The sequence below is a fragment of the Homo sapiens genome, chromosome 10 (genome assembly GCF_000001405.40).
Source record: "Homo sapiens chromosome 10, GRCh38.p14 Primary Assembly".
NCBI lineage: Eukaryota > Metazoa > Chordata > Mammalia > Primates > Hominidae > Homo > Homo sapiens.
Window position 1 is genome coordinate 116,715,953 of NC_000010.11, and position 18,798 is coordinate 116,734,750.

Consider the following 18,798-nt stretch of genomic DNA (forward strand, 5'->3'; position numbering starts at 1 on the left):
AGCCCTTAGAGCAGTCAGAATTTCAGCAGGCACCCACTGGCCCCCTCGCAGATGACAAAACAGATGTCCAGCCACCAGCTGAGCAGCTCCCACTCTGGGATGGGCGCCAGCCAGATCTCAGGTACAGGGCCCTCTGGTCATCAGCTGACAGCTCCTAGACTTTGTAGCCGCTCTGTGAACCCAGGGCCTCAGAGGAGGTGGGGGTGGGGGGTATCCTCCATCCCCTGCTGGGCCCCTCCATGTCTGAGAAACAGTAGGGTATGCCCCTGCAGAGAGGCAGGATCACTTAAAGGACCCTGACATGCCCATTTTGCTTTGTCCTTCAGACTTGCTGAGATCCCAATGCCATATGGGAGGGGCAAGATGTAACAGCCTTGGCATCTTCCTGTGGTTCTCACCCCAGACAGGAATGGTGAGCTGAAATGCTGATGTTAGATGCCACCCTGTGACCCTTTGTACAAGCTCTGAGTCCTCCCGAAAGGCAGGTGTGTGTTGGGGGGTGGGGTGGGGGGTGTGTATGTGTGTGTGTGCATGCATGTGCTCCTGTTGGGGACAAGGGCACTGGGTTTTCTGCTCAGGCCCCAGGTTGGCCTTAGCATTGGGATGAGTGGAGGTGGCAGGCCAAGCAGTCATACGTGGGCTGCAGGCCAAGGGGCATGTCTCCTAGAATCAGGACGGCTTTGGAATAGGAGCAAAGCCAGAGTTGGCTCTTCGGCTGCTGCTCTTAGAGGAACAGAAGAAAAACAAAACAGCTCCTGAGGAGGATGAAGAGAGTGGAGGTGTGGATGTTTGTGAGCCTGGGGACACTGCCTCACCTCCCTCTGTGCCCCCTTCTCCCTCCATGAAGTGAGAATTGGTATTCTCAGGGCCCCCGTCACTCTGTTATCAATGAACACAGGACCAGTGAAACTCTGAAATAAACACCACCCTCCACCCACCATTTTCCAAATTCCTTCATGGGGTCAGATATTCATGCGTTTTTTTGTTTACTTTTAGGCTCTTTTGCAAGCTTATTCAAACTCAAATTATTAATTCAAAACCACTAGAAATATACAAACCCAGCACTCTATTGGGAAACCTATCATAGTCAGCACTCACTGCATGTGTATTTCATGCAAGCTAAGAGCCTTACAGGTGTATCTCATGGGGACCTGCCCTGTAAGGAAGGTTGCTGTGAATTACTATCATTATTCCCATTCTGTAGGTGACAAAATGAAGCCTAGAAGGGTAAGAAAGAAGCCCGCATCCTTAGTCAGGATGCCACCCAGGCAGACTCAGAGCTCTCTGACTCCAAGCCTGCACACCTGCACGTTCCCAGTGCCACTAAGGCATCATCTCTAACTACGAGACAGGTGTGAATGTAAATCCCCATTTCACAGACGAGCAAATAGCTGGAGGAAGTCAGGAGTCACCATCACAGGGCAGCTCCTGGCTGTCTCTGTCTGCAGGCTCATGAGACTGTGTGGCGTATTCTTTGGTCTGCAAAGCTCTATTTCGAAAACCATAATTCTCTCTCAAATCCGAAGATCCAGGTAGGAGAGGCACATATTGGTAAGAGAGATGTTAGAGGTACTAGTTCAAAGTCGGGAAAGCCTGAGCTCAAATCCCACCATGACCACGTCCTAGATGCATGCCACTGGGTGGGCATCTATATCTGTAAAATCTGGCTCATGGCAAGCACCCGATACATTATGGATGTTATTTTGTTTATTATTATTGTTACCATCATCATTATAAAATCGTTCCAACTGCTGCTGAAAAAACGACCGTGTGCTTACACAATGACACAAGCAGAGCCCCCACCTTTGCATAATGTCAGCAAATACATTTCCTTTACGTTTTGCTTCTCTAGGCTTGTTAATCAAAGCTAAAAATTCCCACCAGACAGGAACTTGGCAAAGGGAACCTTCAGGAAAATTTAGTGATAGGAAACGTGAGGGCCGGTGCTGCCAGGGGTAAAGGAGACCCTCTGGCCCCAGTTTGCCCCCCAAGCTGTCTGCTCACCCCAGGGAACTTTCAGAATAACCTAGAAGAACTTGAGAGGCCATATGACCACAGCTTGAGCCTTCCTGTATTCTACAGGGAAGCTCAGTCTCCATTCTAAAACTCACTGGGTCACTGTCAAGACTCTCTTCAGCTTCAAGGACAAGATTCCACCTGCCTGGGCCTCTGGAAGCCCTGGGTTTAGACTTCCCCAATTTCATCATGAACAGCCTTGTGACAGGTCAGTCTTCAGAGGCCACGGCACAGCTAGTGCTGCCTGGACTGAGGCTAAAGAAAGGGCCGAGGCCATTCCAGGCCAGTTGGTTTCCCCTTGAGCAGAATCTTTCACCTCCCAAACACTCACCACCTGTCCCTGGGGAGGGGAGAGGGAAGAGGAGGTAAGGGTAGGGAAGGTGAAGGTTCATCCTTCTTCAGCTGAACCCTCTCATGAGAGAGAGATACACCATCTCCAGGCAGGAAGGGGAACCCTTGGCCACCATGCCCTCCAAACCTGGGTAACTCGGGCACAAACCTTCCACTCTCTGCCAGTGCCCAGGAGGGCAGAGGCTTGAGCACATTTAAAAACCCCTCTGCAGCATTCCTTAATGGAAGAGACATCCCAAAACAGTTGTACGGCTTGTGCACTGCACAAAGGCACCAACCTTGAGGGACACCTCCCAAGCAGGGCTGCACTTACCCAGAGGTAAGTGTGCTATTTTCTTACCACAAAGGCATCTTTCCAAGCCTTGAAGGGCTGCACTGCCTAGAGTGGGCCCCTTTTTTTGAATTTTTGCATCTAAAGCAGATTTTTTCTAATTCACCCAAAAAGTAGCCATGGCACTTAATGGTCAAAGAAGGGAAGAAAATGCTGGGTAAGGTACTAAGTTTCCCGCAAGTAAAGCTCAAGCAGAGGCCAGGCAACCACTTAACTGAGTTCTAGAAGAGGAACAGAAGGTCAGAAAAACTCAGGGGTGTGGGGTGAGAACTAGAATTTATGAATCGACACGAGATTCACTGAATACTTGCTACATGCCGGGTGTTGTAGAGGCTGAGTAGCTGTGCCGAAGTGCAGTGGCCATGGACCTCAGAGGGCTGGTTCAGACCTCGGCTCAGGTCCCTGCTGGTCTTGATAGATGCTGCCAAGATACTGCTGTGTCCACTCAAAATCCATTTCCTGCTTCTTAACTAAACCCCAATTTTTACATTTGGGGTGTGATCCCTCCTGATAACTTGGGGTAGATCCCAAGTAATCTAAGCCAGTCATGGCAAGCCTCCTCCCGCTGCCAATGAGGAACGTGGGAGTGGGTTTGTGACCCACAGTCCTGACTGATGGGACATGAGAGGAAGTCGGCCTGGGGCTTCTGGGAGGAAACACCCCGCCTTTTAAGTGAGTACCCTGAGAAGAGGGTGGACGCACAGGGGCGTGAGGCCACACCTGCAGCTGCCACCTTGCCACCAGCACACAGATGCAGCCACCACCAAAGGAACCTCCCTCCGTCCTTGAGGGGGTCCATGAGCTGCCAAATCAGCCTGCTGGGCCCCTGGACTTCCCATTCTGGTCATAATTTCCCTTCTCTGTAAACAAGACAGGATCAGGTTTTCCATGCTTTGCAACTAAAAACTGATTCCTAGTTATGCAATCTTGAACAAATTACTGAACTTCTCTGGTGCTTGGTTTTCCTTATGTATTAGATAGGGATAATAATAGCTCATACTTCCCAGGATTAATGAGGATTAAATAAGAATAATGCAGGCAAAAGTCTTAACAAGTGTACCTATTATTACTTAGATGGCATCTCATATTATCTTATTAAACAACCCAATGAGGTGGGAAATATTTAACAGCAGAGAAAACCAAAACACAGAGAGGTTAAGCATCTTCCCAAAACCACACAGCCAGCAAGTCCCTGTCACCAGTGCCTGAGCTCCTTGTCTCTACCACATTCCAGCCCTGAGGTTCCTGGACTCTGTGACTCCCACTCAAGTCTGTACTGCTGGCAGCTTGCAGCAAAGAGCAGTGAAAAAGTAAAGGGCTTTACTGGGAGTGGACCTAGGGAGTAAGTGCTAATGAATAGGAGTTTCTTCCCAGGGTGATAAAAATGTTTGGGAATTTAATAGTGGTGACGGTTGCACAATCTTGTGAATACTATAAACCACTGAATTTTATGTGGTGAGTTTTATATGTGAATTATATCTCAATTAAAAACAAATCAAAGAGCTGCTAGAATCAGCCTTGTAAGGAGAAGTGCCCCTGTCCCCCTGCCTTCAGGAGCCCAGCCTCGTCTCTGGGAATGGACTCAGTCACCGCCACCCACCCTGGGCACCGCCCCCTCCCTCCTCCAACCTCTGTGCCTGGTAGAGTTGGCCACAACTTTCTCCCAGGACCCATCCAGTGGTTAATCTAGCTGCGGACTCCAGACTCTCCAACTGGGGCTGGGGCAAGAGCTGGCACTGGCCTCTCCCAGACACCCTGCTCTTTGGCAACGTAAGAATGCAGGCACAGGGCCGGGGCAGCGCCCTAGTCAGACAGCTGCAGTTTCACTCTTCCCCTAGATGCTGGGAAGCTGGCTAGTCAGAGTAGAATGGCCCCACTCCTCCCCAAGGCCAGACGTGCCATCCTGCTGGGGTGCTGCAGGCTGACTTGCTGGTGCTTCCCCTGACAGATCAGCTGTTTCAAGCTATGCCAGAATAAATGCTAGTGAAAGCCTCAAAACCTGCAGCTGTAACTAGTCTTCTGCAGACCCACCTTTGACAGGAGGGCAAACTGCACAGCATTAAAACATTCTGCTGTGTGACCGTCTGCACGTGCCAGCTGCAGCTAGCCAGGTCCTGGGCAGGGAGGTGTGCAGGAACCTGCCTAAGAAAATGCTCCTTCCAGGAAATAAAGGAAAAGAGAAGGCCAATGCTAAAAGGGGCTCCAAGGAGCTCTGAGAGAGGACGAGACAGGACCACCCACTGCAGCCTGGAGGGGAGGCACGATGGGAACTGCCCAGGATGCAGGGACACCCCCAGAGGCTAAATGTTCTGCTCAGAACAGGCAGCCGCAGCACAGACAGCAGACTTCCATGTCAGAAGAGAGGAGACAAAGTCCTTCCAGAGACTTTTTAAGACCTTTGAAGTCTAAAATCCCTAATTACTTCTTACTTTGTAAGTACAAAATCTTCAATGACAGACTTACATTTGTACAAAAAGAATTAGTAAACTGGGTTAAGTTATTGATTAACTTTAGACTTTGCTAAGTTAAGTATGCATGGCAAAATTTCAAGGGTAACTAATCTTGAAAGCAGTTGAAATTGAATCCCTAACTTCAGAGCAGTAAAGAGAGATAAATACACAAGACACTGAATGAACAATTCCTCCTGGGGACCGAATTTGCTCAAAGTCTTTTCCCAAGGAATCCATAGGTCACAGAAAGGCATCTCCCAGGTCTCCTCCACAGAGCACAGGATCCAGAGGTCACCCAGAGCGTCCCACCTGAGGCCAAGCAGCTGTGATGAGGCCAGCAGGGTGCCCCCTCTATCCCACCTTTTTATATTGTACCAAGCCAGCTCCTGGCCCAGAGAAGGCAAAATACTGACCATTAAATTTTGATGAGCTTTTGAATTTGAACTTAAAGTAAGTCAATCTCACTAAAAACAAAACAAAACAAAACAAAACGAAAACCCGGGTGTGCGTGACTATAGCAGGGTAAGAGCAAACAAACTACAAACCCATCCTAATCCCCATCCCTCCCCTCCCCGGCACTGAAATGCAAATATGAGTCTCTCCAAACCCTTTACTGAGCTGCGGTGGGGACAGCAGGCCTCAGAAACATATACACTCCAGGAAATAATGTACATGCTGTGTTTAGGGGCCCTGGGAGGCCGTGCAGATGGCCCCAGCTGCCATAATATTCACACTCATCATCATGGCTGCTCACCCACGTTGGTGTGTACATGTTATGAAAGAATGAGTGAACACACGTGGCCTTCCAGGACCCCTTGTTCCAGCCCCGACACATCAGTCTCTGCAGTCCTTGGGTCTGGGGAATGAGACTTTATACCTTGTTACCATGCTCAGATGGACAACCGCCCAAGTTCAGGCAAGGGAGGAGGTCTTGGGCACCCAGGGTGGTCTGTCTCCGGCTTTTCATTACTGCTGCCCCACAGACCTGTCCCTCCCAGGCGCAGGCCTGCCTGCTTCATTAGGCAGGGCAGCTTCTCTGACTTCATTGTTATCTTTAACAGCTCCATCTGGACCTCAATCAATCAGCGGCCATCTCCTCTGCAGAGAGGAATGCTCCAGACGGGTCAGGCGCAGGGTGACTAGCCTGACTTCCAGCAGGCGCACAATCCTCCCCCACAGAGCCCAAGATGTCTGTGCCCACGGTGCTGACTGCTGGGAGGTGGCCACAGGAATGCCTTGGACTTGGAGAAGTGGGAGCTCGTGCTAGGGACACCCACACGAGCCCACGGCTCCAACCAACCCTTGTCTCCCTGCCTCTCGCTCTCTCTCCACAGACCTAGTCTGGGAGGGTCCTGAATGGCATAGACACCACACTGAGGACATTCTGGGTTAATGAACAAGAAGAGTTCCAGGAGCTGACCCTGCAACAGGAAGACGGGTGGTATGACCCAGAAGTTCATCAGTGGGACCAACCAGGGCCGATGTGAAACATCCCCTGCACCCCACACTCGGTGTGCCTGTCCTGAGCCCTCCTCTGCCCATCCCTACCCAGCTGTCATCAGTCTTATCTTGTGGACATGCATCACATGGGTATTTAATTTATGAGAATCCAACTATGAGATCTCAGGCCAAAACATAGTGGGATGATTTCAATTTAAATATTAAATTGAATATTAAAAACACTGTAATTAAAAGCCCTGTAAAAATCTATTTTGCACATGGACTCTTCATGAGACACCATGGTAAGTGCCACAGGGGTGTTAGGACAGACTGACATCCCTGAAGGGGGTGGGGGAAGGTAGCTCCAGGAAGGTGACGCTTGGCTGGCTCCCGGGAGGGCAAGTTTGCTGAATGAACAAGGTAGGGAGTAAACAGCAGGCCAAAGGAACAGCAAGGGCAAAAGCAGAGCGGTATGAAGGGCTTCCCAGAGAGCCTTATACTCTCCCAGCTGGTGTCACTGCCTCCAGGCTGTCCCACTGGATCACATCACAACCACCACCATCATCATGTCACTCCCAGCCTCAAGCACCTACTGTAGCTCTCTATCCCCTTCATATCAGATGCAGCTGTTTAACCAATCAGATACCTCCATTACCCCCTAACCATTGCCCCCCCATCATTCCTGTCCTCATACAACCCCCTGCACAGCTGGGCTGTGTCCTCTGCCATCTGGGAAAGCCATCTGCCATCCCTCAGGCCTGGCTTGTGCACTGGCTGTCTGCAGGGAGAGAGGGGCCCGCTGACCTTCACGTGGGAGGATTTGACCCTCATGCTGCCCTCCAAATAGGCACAGCCCCAAGCTGTTCTTCCAGGGGCAGGGGACGGGGCTGAGGACCCCGAATGAGCTGGGTTCTGGGGCAACACCCAGTTCCACCCTCACCAGCTCTGTCACAGACGGGACTCTGTCTCAGGTCTCAGTTTCCACAAGTACGTACCAGGCTAACAACTGTCTCTCTCACAGGGCTGCTGTGGAGACCACAAGGGGTGACCCATAAGGAAACTCCAGCACCGAGCTGGGTGAGGTTAGGTGCTCAGGAAGCATGGGGCCTCCCCTGACATTCATTCCTGAGACCCACTGCGCACACGTGCTGAGGTTTTAAAACTGAATCTCCAGCCTGAGGACCATGAGGACCACTAAGCCTCAGGTGGGACCAGCAGCCCTGCTCCTGCAGTCAGCCTCTCCACCCGTTCCTTAGATCCCGGCTGCTTCCAGTACCGAGCCACCTCCAAAGAGAAGGGCTGTGCTTCCAGGCCCATCTACCATCTTGCCCGATGCCCACCTGAGGGCCCCTGACCATACCCCAGTAGCTGAGGCCAGCGGGTCACCTGTACCCAGGCATAGACAGCACTCTGCTGAGCCATCCATGGCTGCATGGCCCCAACAGAGGCGTATCGGGCAGCACTGGCCGGAACTTTAGAAAGACAGAGTTTGGGCTACTTTTCAAGCAGCCCTTCTGCACCTTGTACAGAGCCCTGCACCTGGGGAGGGCCCAGCCTATCTTGCTTCCTGGCTGTTTGATGTCAGGAAACCACTGGATCTTGAAAGTGGCTTTCTTGTGGCTGGAGGCAGGGCCACAAGGGAGTGTCACAGATATTTCCAGGGCAGAGATGAAGAGAGAACACGCACTTTGGGTTCAGAGACCAGAAGGCCACCACCACTCTCTCCCCATGGGATCTTTTTTTAAAACTTTATAAAAAAATTTTTAGTTTTTTAAATGTTTCTGATATATTATATTTGTACCTATTTATAGGTGCCTGTGAAACATTGTTACATGTGTAGAATGTGTAATGACTAAGTCAGGGCACTTAAGGGCCATGGGGTCTTCACCAAGATTCACGACCTTTTGAGTCTCCATCTCCTCTTCTAAAAGAGAAGACCCCCTTCCCCATGGTGCTGGATTTTGTGACAGCCCCTCTGTGAGCTTTGTCTCAATATGCCTGGCCAGTCTGGAAGGCTCCCCACCAAGGGGTTAACAGGGGCTGCCTCTGAGTGTGGGGTCCTGGCTGTTTCCTCCTTTCTTGCTTTGGATAATATTTCCTATAGTAAACACGTAAGTCTTCTGTCATGAGAACCAAAGCTGTCTCAGGTTTTACCCAAAACCTTCCCAGGACAGTGTGGGGCAGAGGAGACAAGTGAGTGACGCCTCCTGTCCCTTCCTGTGGCCTCACTGGGTGCCCTGCGGCCCAGAGCCCAAGACTCCAGCTGCTCCCAGCCATAGCCCTGGTCCTGCCCCAGGTCTTTGCCTGCTCCTCAGTCTCCTGAATCAGGACCCCCAGTCTCTAACAGCTCCCAGTGACCACCTGGCCCCCAGACCCTGAAGGCCAACTCTCTGCCTGGCAATCTCCCAGCAACACCGTGGTGCAGGCTCTTTTTCTCAGCTCCGTCCCCCAGAGGAGGAACCAGAAGCTCTGGAGGTGTTGAGACCTGCCCAAAGCCTCACAGCGAGGAACAGCAGAGCTGAGACTTGAACCCAGGACTTGAGCTGTTCCCACAATACCACTTTGCCTTACAGAGAAAACACAGTGCAGGGATCCCACCTGGAAGGGGGCTCTCAAACTGCCTCATCCTGTTAGCCTCCTCCAGGGCCCAGGAGCTCCACTTGATGGGAATTGCTTCTGGCTTCAACACTTAATTCCCCAAATGTCCCCTGCCTGAAGTGAGCCAGCCTGTGTTGAGACAGAAATCCTGCCACCCTGTAGGGTGGGGAGCACTCTGCTAGGGTCCCAGGCCTCACGCTGGGCCTCCATGGACCCAGCTCCACCTCTGAGCTTCCATCGTTAACATCAGGTCAGCATCCCAGTGTTGTTCAGTCGCCAGATTTGAAAAGAAGCCTGAAGCTGGCATGGCAGTGTGCAAGGGAGGACTGCGTGGCCCCCAACAGGCTGGGGGCCCTGAGAGAAGGGGCAGGCGAGCAGGGGAGGGGCACCAGGAATTGTATGCATATTCACAGATAGAAAGGGGTCACAAATTCTCTCCAAGGAAGACATCAGTTATGAGTATGGGACTGGGGAGAGATGTGAGGACTGAGGAGCTTTGCTGGCAGAAGGAGTGGGGGTGGCAGAAGGGGCGCTATCTTGGGACACAAAACCCAGAACTACTCCCAGCGAGTCACAGGGTGAGAGGGATATCCCACTGCCAGGGTGACTGTATTTTTGGCTTCTGTGTTTATGTTTTGCAGTTTATTTCTGCCTCATCGCTAATATTTCATTAGAAAGTGGCTCTTCCCTCCCCCAACCCCTGCCACACTAATATTTTTGGGAGGAAATCTTAAAAAGACCCCAGCTGCATTCAGCATGCTTGCGTGCTATCTTAAGGCCTGCCTCTACCGGCATAGGACTCCGTTTACAGAATGCAACTCAGTGAGGAAGTCAAGTTTTCTATCTGAATATTCATTCAACATACAAGGTTTAGACACACACACACACGCACACACACACACACACACACACACACAACAGGCCAAGCAGGACAAGGTGAATTCTGACATTCCCATGGTTCTCTACCCAATCCTATCCTGCTGGCTGGTCTTCCCTCCCAAGAGCCTCAGGCTCTGTCCCCTGGCATGTGGCACTTTGCAATCTCACTACCGAATATTTACCAAAGGCCCAAGGAGTGTGGTGTTGGGGCAGAATCTGCACCCATGACCAGCCATGACTTTGTGGGTTCAAGTTTGAATAAACTGCAAGAACCCCAAAGGAAGACCTACCAGAAGCTTCTAACATCTCTCAGCCCATTCCTTCCTCTGTCTCTGTCTCCCTCCTCCATCTCAGCTGCTCACTCTACCTCTCTCCCCACGCATGCATGCACATTCAGAGTTATATACGCACATTCCCAGCAGCCTCCCCCGAGACAGGCCTGGCAGGACCCCACCAGCTCCAGCAGTAAAAGGTCCTTGCTGGGTCTCTGATATCACTACCTACCACCCCCCTTGTGAGTGCTCCCCAAAGGGTTGGTGTCCTTGGGTAGACCATCCCCAATTTCCCACAGTTCCTTCTGGGGGTGCCTGTCAAACCACCAGGCCCAAGAGGGGGCTGCCCCTCAACACTCCTACCCTTAGCCTCTACCCGTCCCCAATATCCCATCCAGACAGCCAGTCTTGGCTTGCTCCGATGAACGGCATGGCCCTACTGCCTCCAGGTGTGCTGTCGGGCTCACTGTCACTTTCTAGGTTTCTGTTTCTTCATGTGGAAAATGAAGTTGGCTCACAGAACACTGAGAGCTCCCACACCTCCACCCTCCAGCCTTAACTATTTCTCACTGTGATAATCTAAGTCACACTAACTAACGTGCCGATGACGGATGAAGACCCCAGACTGCACAGCAACACCTCCCTCAGATCTCCATAATTCAGTGGTTCCAAGACACTTATGTTTTCTAAGAAGTAAAATCTGCCCCCGTCAAAAAACTGTGGATCTAACAAAGTGTTATCACATTTTGATTTTGCCAAGAACAGACATTAACACTTTTATTAAACCTATCATCTGCTACTATATTCAATTCATAAAAGAAAGAAAAATAGGACTATATCAGTTATCTATTGTAATCCAAATATTTCTAACTCCAAAATTTAGTGGGTTAAAATAACAATAATTTGCACAGAATTCCGCAACTTGGGCTTTTCTCACCTGGGGTCAACTCATACAGCTAAAGTCATCTCAAGGCTCATCTGGCACTAGATGGGCCAAGACAGGCTCATTCATGTCCATGTTCACCTAGGCTGTCGGTCGGGGGCCTCAGTTCCCCTCTAGGTGGCCTCTCCAGCAGGACGACCTGGACTTCCTAAATAGCAAAGGACAAGTGAGCAAGCTCCAATGCACTGGCAGGAATTTTCAAGCCTCTGCTGGCTTCCTGTTTGCCAAGGTCCTATTGGCCAAAACAAATCATGTAGCTACACCGAGTCCAGGTAGGAGGAGATGACACAAGGGTGTGAGTACAGGCGTCCCCAACTGAGGATGATTTGACTTATGATTACTTAACTTCATGATGGTGTAAAGGCGATAGACATTTAGTAGAAACCATACTTTGAGTAGCCAAACAACCATTTGTTTTTTTACTTTCAGTACAGTATTCAATAAACTACATGAGATACTTTATTATAAAATAGGCTTTGTGTTAGATGATTTTGTCCAAGGGTAGGCTAATGTAAGTGGGTTTTTTTTTTTTTTTTGGTTTTTTGGAAAGAGTCTTACTATGTCACCCAGGCTGGGGTGCAATGGCACAATCTCAGCTCACTGCAACCTAGGCCTCCTGGGTTTAAGTGATTCTCCCATCTTAGCCTCCTGAGTAGCTGGGATTACAGGTGTGCACCACCATGCCCGACTAATTTTTTTGGGGGGGGGACAGAGTCTCACTCTGTCGCCACTGCACCCAGCTAATTTTTCTATTTTTAGTAGAGACAGGGTTTCACCATGTTGGCCAGGCTGGTCTCGAACTCCTGACCTCATGATCTGCCCACCTTGGCCTCCCAAAGTACTGGGATTACAGGCATGAGCCACCGCGCTTGGCCAATTTTTGTATTTTTAGTAGAGACAGGACTTCACCATGTTGGCCAGGCTGGTCTCAAACTCCTAACCTCATGATCCACCCACCTGGGCCTCCTAAAGTGCTGGGATTACAGATGTGAGCCACTATGCCCAGCCTTGTAAGTGTTCTGAGCATATTTAAGGTAGGCTAGGCATGGATGGTCTGTAGGTTAGGTGGATTAAATGCATTTTCTACTAATGATATTCTTAACTTACAATGGGTTTATCAGGGTGTAACTCCATCGTAAGTCAAGGAGCATCTGTACCTGGAGACAGGATTTATTGTAGGTTATTAATTCAATAAGCTACCACAAGGGCACAATATCAGAAATTGTTTTTCAGATGGAAAAATTTAGCTTCGTGCAAACCTGGTACACAGTCACCTGGGTAACTTCCTCAGTGACGAATGTAGGCTTCAAGCATCAGAAGCCATCATGAACTAGTCCAAAGTGGGGCATTTGGGAAACACAGCACTGATTATCGCATTCTTTCCAACTGAGCCAGAGGTGACCTCAGAATCCTTCTTAACACAGCTCTCTAGATAGCTTCTTCCCTATTGGTCAGAGAGGTAGACACAATTCAAGTCTATGTGCCACTGCTTATCTAAGGGTTTTATATGCAGAGCAGGAGTTTTCTTTTAAAAGAGAACACTAAAGAAATAATGTTTAACCCAAAGGAATGTGGCATCAAATCAAGCCTGCATGAGTAAGACTCCCTGATGGTGGAACTCCAGGCTCTGTGACCAGGGGCAGGTGCGGGGAGCCTTCCAGGATCCTCAAACCACCCCCTCCAGGGGCCCATCTTAATGCTCCTTATGTGCCAGGCAATAAGCCTCCCGGGGCAAGGGCCCTCACACATCCCTGCAGGCGGCCTATGGCAAGCAGAGACATGGGACCCTCATTTTAGGCCAAACCTCACTAGTCCTGGCTCTCTGGGTACCTCACACAAATGTGAGTTGTGTCTCAGCTCTCAGTTCTAGTGGGTTCTCAGCCTCTGTCTGGCAGCATTGCCCAGCCCAAGGACTGACAAAGGGCACCCTGCAGACTCCATCTCTCCCTTCTCCAGAGCCAATGAGGAGCACGCCGGGAAGGTCACAGGAGCCCACCCCCAACCCCTGACTGGTAAGAGCCCCAGCGTACAGGCTGGGATGCTATCATTGGGTCGACCCTGAAAGTCCCTCCCTTTGGGGCACGGTCCAGGCCTTGAGATCCCCCACCATCGGAGGTGGGGCTTTCTGCAAACCAGAGGATCCTGAATGACAAAATCCTCCCGAGTTGGAAATACTCTGCACTGACATGGTGGTTACATGACTACAGTTGACCTTTGAACGACATGAGGGTTAGGGGCACCCACCCCCTGCACAGTTAAAAGTCCACATATAACTTTTGACCCCCCCAAAACTTAACTACAAATAGCCTACTGTTGATCAGAAGCCTTAACAATAACATAAACAGTCAATTAACACATTATTTTATGCATTCACGAAATACCTAAATTCTTGATTTTTTTCAATATTTCTAGGCTATGCAGTAAATTGTCACAAATCTCCAGAAAATGTTCCAATATATGTATTGAAAAAAATCCATGGATAAGTGGACCTGTGCAATTCAAGGCCATGTTGTTCAAGGGCCAACTGTATCTACATTTGTCAAAACTCATGGAACTGTACACCCAAAAAGTGTGAGTCTTACCTTATGTAACTTAGACCTCAATAGACTAAACTTTAACGAAATCTCCCAGCCAGCTCCACTCCCTAATATCAACCTTTCTGAGTACCTCGTGTGTGCCCAGTGGGTGTTTTGAATAATAAAGATGGCCAGGCGTGGTGGCTTACGCCTGTAATCCCAGCACTTTGGGAGGCCAAAGCAGGCCAACATGGTGAAACCTCATCTCTACTAAATATACAAAAATTAGCTGGGCATGATAGCAGGCACCTATAATCCCAGCTACTTGGGAGGGTGAGGCAGAAGAATCGCTTGAACCCTGGAGGCAGAGGTTGCAGTAAGCTGAGATGGTGCCACTGCACTCCAGCCCGGGTGACAAAGCGAGACTCCATCTCAAAATAATAATGATGATGATGATGCCTAACATTGACTGCACATGTTTTATGTGTAGGACAAATTCTTTATATACATGACCTCATCTAATTCTCAGAACCAACCCGTGAAGTGCTGTGACCCATACTTTTGAGATAAGGTCACGGGGATCTAGAGAGGTTGAATACCTTGGTGAGGTCAAGGCCAGGTATGGGAGCCAGGACCCAAACCAGGACTTTCTAACTGAGCTAAGCCCGTTTCACTCTACCAAGTGCCCATCCAACACTAGCTCCCAGGCATGGGGTGTTGAGTGCTATTTTATACTTAACTGAGGCCCAGAGAGGCTAAATGACTTGGCTGAGGCCACTCGGCTAGTCAGAGGTGGCACCACGATCTGAACCAAGTATTGTCTTATTCTAAAGCCCACTCTGTCTTACTGCCCACAAAGGAGGCCTGGGGTCCCTCATGCCCCATTCCATCTGCTGGGCTCTCTTCTCTGGGACTGCCTGGCCCTGGGTGACTCCTTCCCCAGCCATGCCCACCCCCAACCTGTTCTAGCAGCTTTGCTGGCCAAGACTACCAGAGGCTGACGCCAAAGGATGGACGCTCAAAAATATCTTGGAAAGCATCTCGCCATAGCTGGTCTGACACAGACAGACTGAGGCTGTGGGATAAGGGCCTTCCAAGGGCCTCTGTACAGCCTAGGAACCTGGCTATGAAGGAACCGGGCCCTCCTGGCTTTCCCAGACCAGGTCCAACATGGTTCCCACCCTCCCAACGTTTCCTGGGGGAGAAGCCGAGGAGCTTGGACAGGCAGGAATCAGTGTGCTCCCAGGCGTGGGCCAGCTTCTCTGCGCAGCCCGTTCCCATGGTCTGTCCCAGGGTCCTGCTGCATGGGCCCTTGTGGACTCAGTCAATGCTACATCCTCCATGGCTGGCCAGTTGGCCTCCCCTGGAGGGCCCCGGAGTTGGTCCTTGTGCTTAGGCAGAACGGGCCCCTGACCATGTTGGTTGCCCATCTTTCTGTGCCTTGGCTCTTGGCAGAATGTCTGTTTTAAAACGAATTTTGCTTGTGAGTAAGTAAACCTTCTCTGGCCAGAGGAAGCCAAAAAGGTACCTTTACAGTGAGGATCCAGGGATGGTGCCCAGAACTTAAACCAGCTGCCAGGTCTAGGAGGGGAAAGTGAAGCAAGTGACTCAGATGAATGATGCACCCCTTCTGCTGCTCTCTAACTGCCGGCCCCAGGGAAACCACTGCCAGACCGGATGACCACGGTCCCTTCAAATGGGGCCAGCGGCCATGTGGACTGACTACAGCCCATCACACACCAGAAGAACACACCAAGAGTCTGTGCATTATTGTCATGCAAGGGACCCAGTGGTCAGTTACCCCATGTAGCATGAAACTTTTACATGGGAGAAAGTAATTTTCTCTAAGAAAGAACAAAAGAGCAAAATTTCTAACAGGTAGTCTCTTTCTTCTCCATTCTTGTACAGCCCTCACCTAGAAATTCTTTACTACACAGGGCTTACTTCAGACACCTGTACTGTTAACTATTTGTGGGAGATAATTACTCTCTGACCACCAGATATCGTGCCCCCTAACTCCCCCTCTCTCAGCAAGGTAACCCTTCTTCTGGCCAGGGTTGACTGTTTCTGGGTCAAGTCCTGATCATACCTGAATCTTGCGGCCTCGTCTGGGAATCTGGACTTGGAAAAGAAAGAAAAACAGACAGACATCAGACCTCCTGTGTATCAGAACTTTTCATTTCAACATGGGGGTCACTGTTGGGGGCCACATTTGCCCTAAAGATGGGAAGCAATCCTAAAGTGGTCCTGCAGAGAGGAGGGGTGGGTGACATGCAGAGCAAAGCAGAAGTAAGAGACAGGGCCAGGGGTGGTGGCTCATGCCTGTAATCCCAGCACTTTGGGAGGCCAAGGTAGGCAGATCATTTGAGGTCAGGAGTTCGAGACCAGCCTGGCCAACGTGATGAAACGCCGTCTCTACTAAAACTACAAAATTAGCTGGGTGTGGTGGTGCATGCCTGTAATTGCAGCTATTCCAGAGGCTGAGACAGGAGAATCGTTTGAACCCGGGAGGCGGAGGCTGCAGTGAGCCAAGATCACCCTACTGCACTCCAGCCTGGGTGACTCCGTCTCAAAAAAAACAAAGAAAGAAAGAAAGAAAGAAAGAGACAGAGGGAAAGAAAACTGCCATGTTCCCAACACTTTCCCCTCCTAGACCTAGCAGCAGGTTTAAGTTCCAGGAACCAGCCCTGGATCCTCACTGTAAAGTTACCTTTTTGGCTTCCTCTAGCCAGAGAAGGTTTACTTACCTGCAACCAAAATCCCTAATCAAAACCCTTTCAAAACAGACATTCTGCCAAGAGCCAAGGCACAAAAAGATGGGCAACCACTACTGTCAAGTGAGGGAACACACAAGAGACTAGAAAAGAAAAGCTGGGCCTGCGGCTCCACCATTGCAGAGTGTTTTATTCACAGCAATTTGACTTGGCACTTCATTCCTTTGAGTTAAGCATTCTTCAAATACTTTTTTAAAATGTAACTCCTGCTGGAGGGACAAGTCATGAATTTGTTAACGGCAAGGAGGTTTGGATCCTTGTGCCGTCTCTGAGTGACCGGGAGTGGCTGGCGGGACTGCTGGAGGATTCTGTAGCCATTGCGGAGTTCAGCTGGAAAGCATGCAGAGGGAGTCGGCAGACCTCGATTCTGAGCCTGGCTTTGCCTAGTGTCCTGGGGCAGTCTCTTCCCCTCCCTGACTTCAGTTTCCCCATCTGTAAAATGAGAGGGTGGGCCCAGTCCAGACATTAGACAACCTGGTCCCATCTAGCTGTGGATGTATCCATGAGCTCTGTTTTCTAACTGCTGGCCCAGGGAAACCACCACCCAAACTGATAACCATCATCCCTTCAAATCGGTCCAGCAGCCATGTGGACTGACTACAAGCAGTTGTTTTCTGAAACTTTCATCTGTCCTTTGGGCACAGACTCCTGCCTGATGGTTGTGCTGTAAACAGTTTCTTATCCCAGCCAGCGGAGATGGTCACTAAGGGACAATGACTAAAGGAAAGAAAAGGAAGTAAGTGGCCAGAGGAGTTTAGCCTTCAGCCCAAGGAAACATGGGAGACAAGCAAAGAGAGGCCAGCCTGAGGCCTCAGAGGCAGCAGGCTGGAGCCCGAATACCTACAGCTTCCCTGTCCCAAACAGAACCAGCCGCCTGGGTACAGGAACCACTGTTCCTCATCACAGAGAAACCAATAAGATCACGAGGTCTGATTTACAAAACATAGGAAGCCCCAAGGGACATCATTTAATTGTCAGTTTATAGGAAGCAAAGGGCACTGGCGTAATCCATTTCCCTCTGAGATCTTGGGTGCTAAGTGGGTCGATGAAACAGGAGCTCCATCCTACAGAACTTACTCCTGGAGTCTCTGTTTTCTGACATTAAAATTCTGAACATAACTGACAAAACTACCCACTAAGTATGCAAACATCTGGGAAGCAAAGCAGTCTCAAAATTTCAAATGACTGAATAGGAAGTGACTGTAGGCTCTTCCTATTGGCTGTTATTTGAGGCTCCACCCCATATCGGAGCAAATATTTTTTAAATGAACACTTATCCCACATCAAATATAAATACACTCAGTCCTCAACTTAGGATGACTCAACTTATGATATTTTCAACGTTTTTATGGGTTTATAGGGACGTAACCCTATTGTAAGTCAAGGAGCATCTGTTCAAGCACTTCCACTGTAATGCAGCATATTTTCCTACAAATCTTCACATTCTACAAACCCATACACTAAAAATAACAGGATTCATGAGGAAAACAAGGTCGGTGTACATCACTCCACACCTGCGGAACCTTGCTACCGGAACCTTTCCAAAAACAGTAACGGAGCACTCACTTCTTAGGGGGCCATTCTCATCAAAATGCAAAACCCAACAGGGCACAGTGGTTCACACCTGTAATCCCAGAGCTTTGGGAAACCAAGACAGGCAGATCACACCTGTAATCCCAGAGCTTTGGGAAACCAAGACAGGCAGATCACCAAGACAGGCAGTTTGAGACCCGCCTGGCCAACATGGTGAAACTCTGCCTCTACTAAAAATACAAAAATTAGCTGGACATGGTGGCACACACCTGTAGTCCCAGCTACTCGGGAAGCTGAGGCAGAAGAATCACTTGAACCCAGGTGGTGGAGGCTGCAGTGAGCCGAGATCACACCACTATACTCCAGCTTGGGCAATAGAGCGAGACTCTGTCTAAAAAAAAAAAAAAAAAAAGCAAAACCCATCCAGGGTGTCACCCACACACCCATACCCATCATTTTCTTATAGGGACAATGTCTTTGCAGCTCCTTCATCTGCCCTCTCAGCTGCCAACAGAGCTTAAGGGAATGGGGAATGGAACAATACTAAAACAGCCCTGACTTACACTAAAGGTAGTTGCATCTACAGATTTTCAGCTTTTTTTTTTTTTTTGCTTTTTTCATATATTAGCCTTCAATCATGAAAAAAGTGCATTCTGGGCTGAGCACGGTGGCTCATGCCTGTAATCCCAGCACTT

General features: G+C 49.7%; 1 protein-coding gene across 5 annotated transcripts in view; it reads right to left on the reverse strand.

Moving 5' to 3' along the window:
- Nucleotides 1–18,798, reverse strand: part of HSPA12A (heat shock protein family A (Hsp70) member 12A) — a 179,556-nt gene that overhangs the window by 44,761 nt on the left and 115,997 nt on the right. Inside the window, exon 1 of one of the 5 annotated variants that reach the window (XM_047424971.1) lies at nt 11,275–11,421. The exons of the other annotated variants lie outside the window; for them this stretch is intronic. The gene's annotated coding sequence lies outside the window, so the exon portion shown is untranslated. Of the gene's footprint in view, nt 1–11,274; nt 11,422–18,798 lie in introns of those variants that run through there. 5 annotated transcript variants of the gene reach the window in all.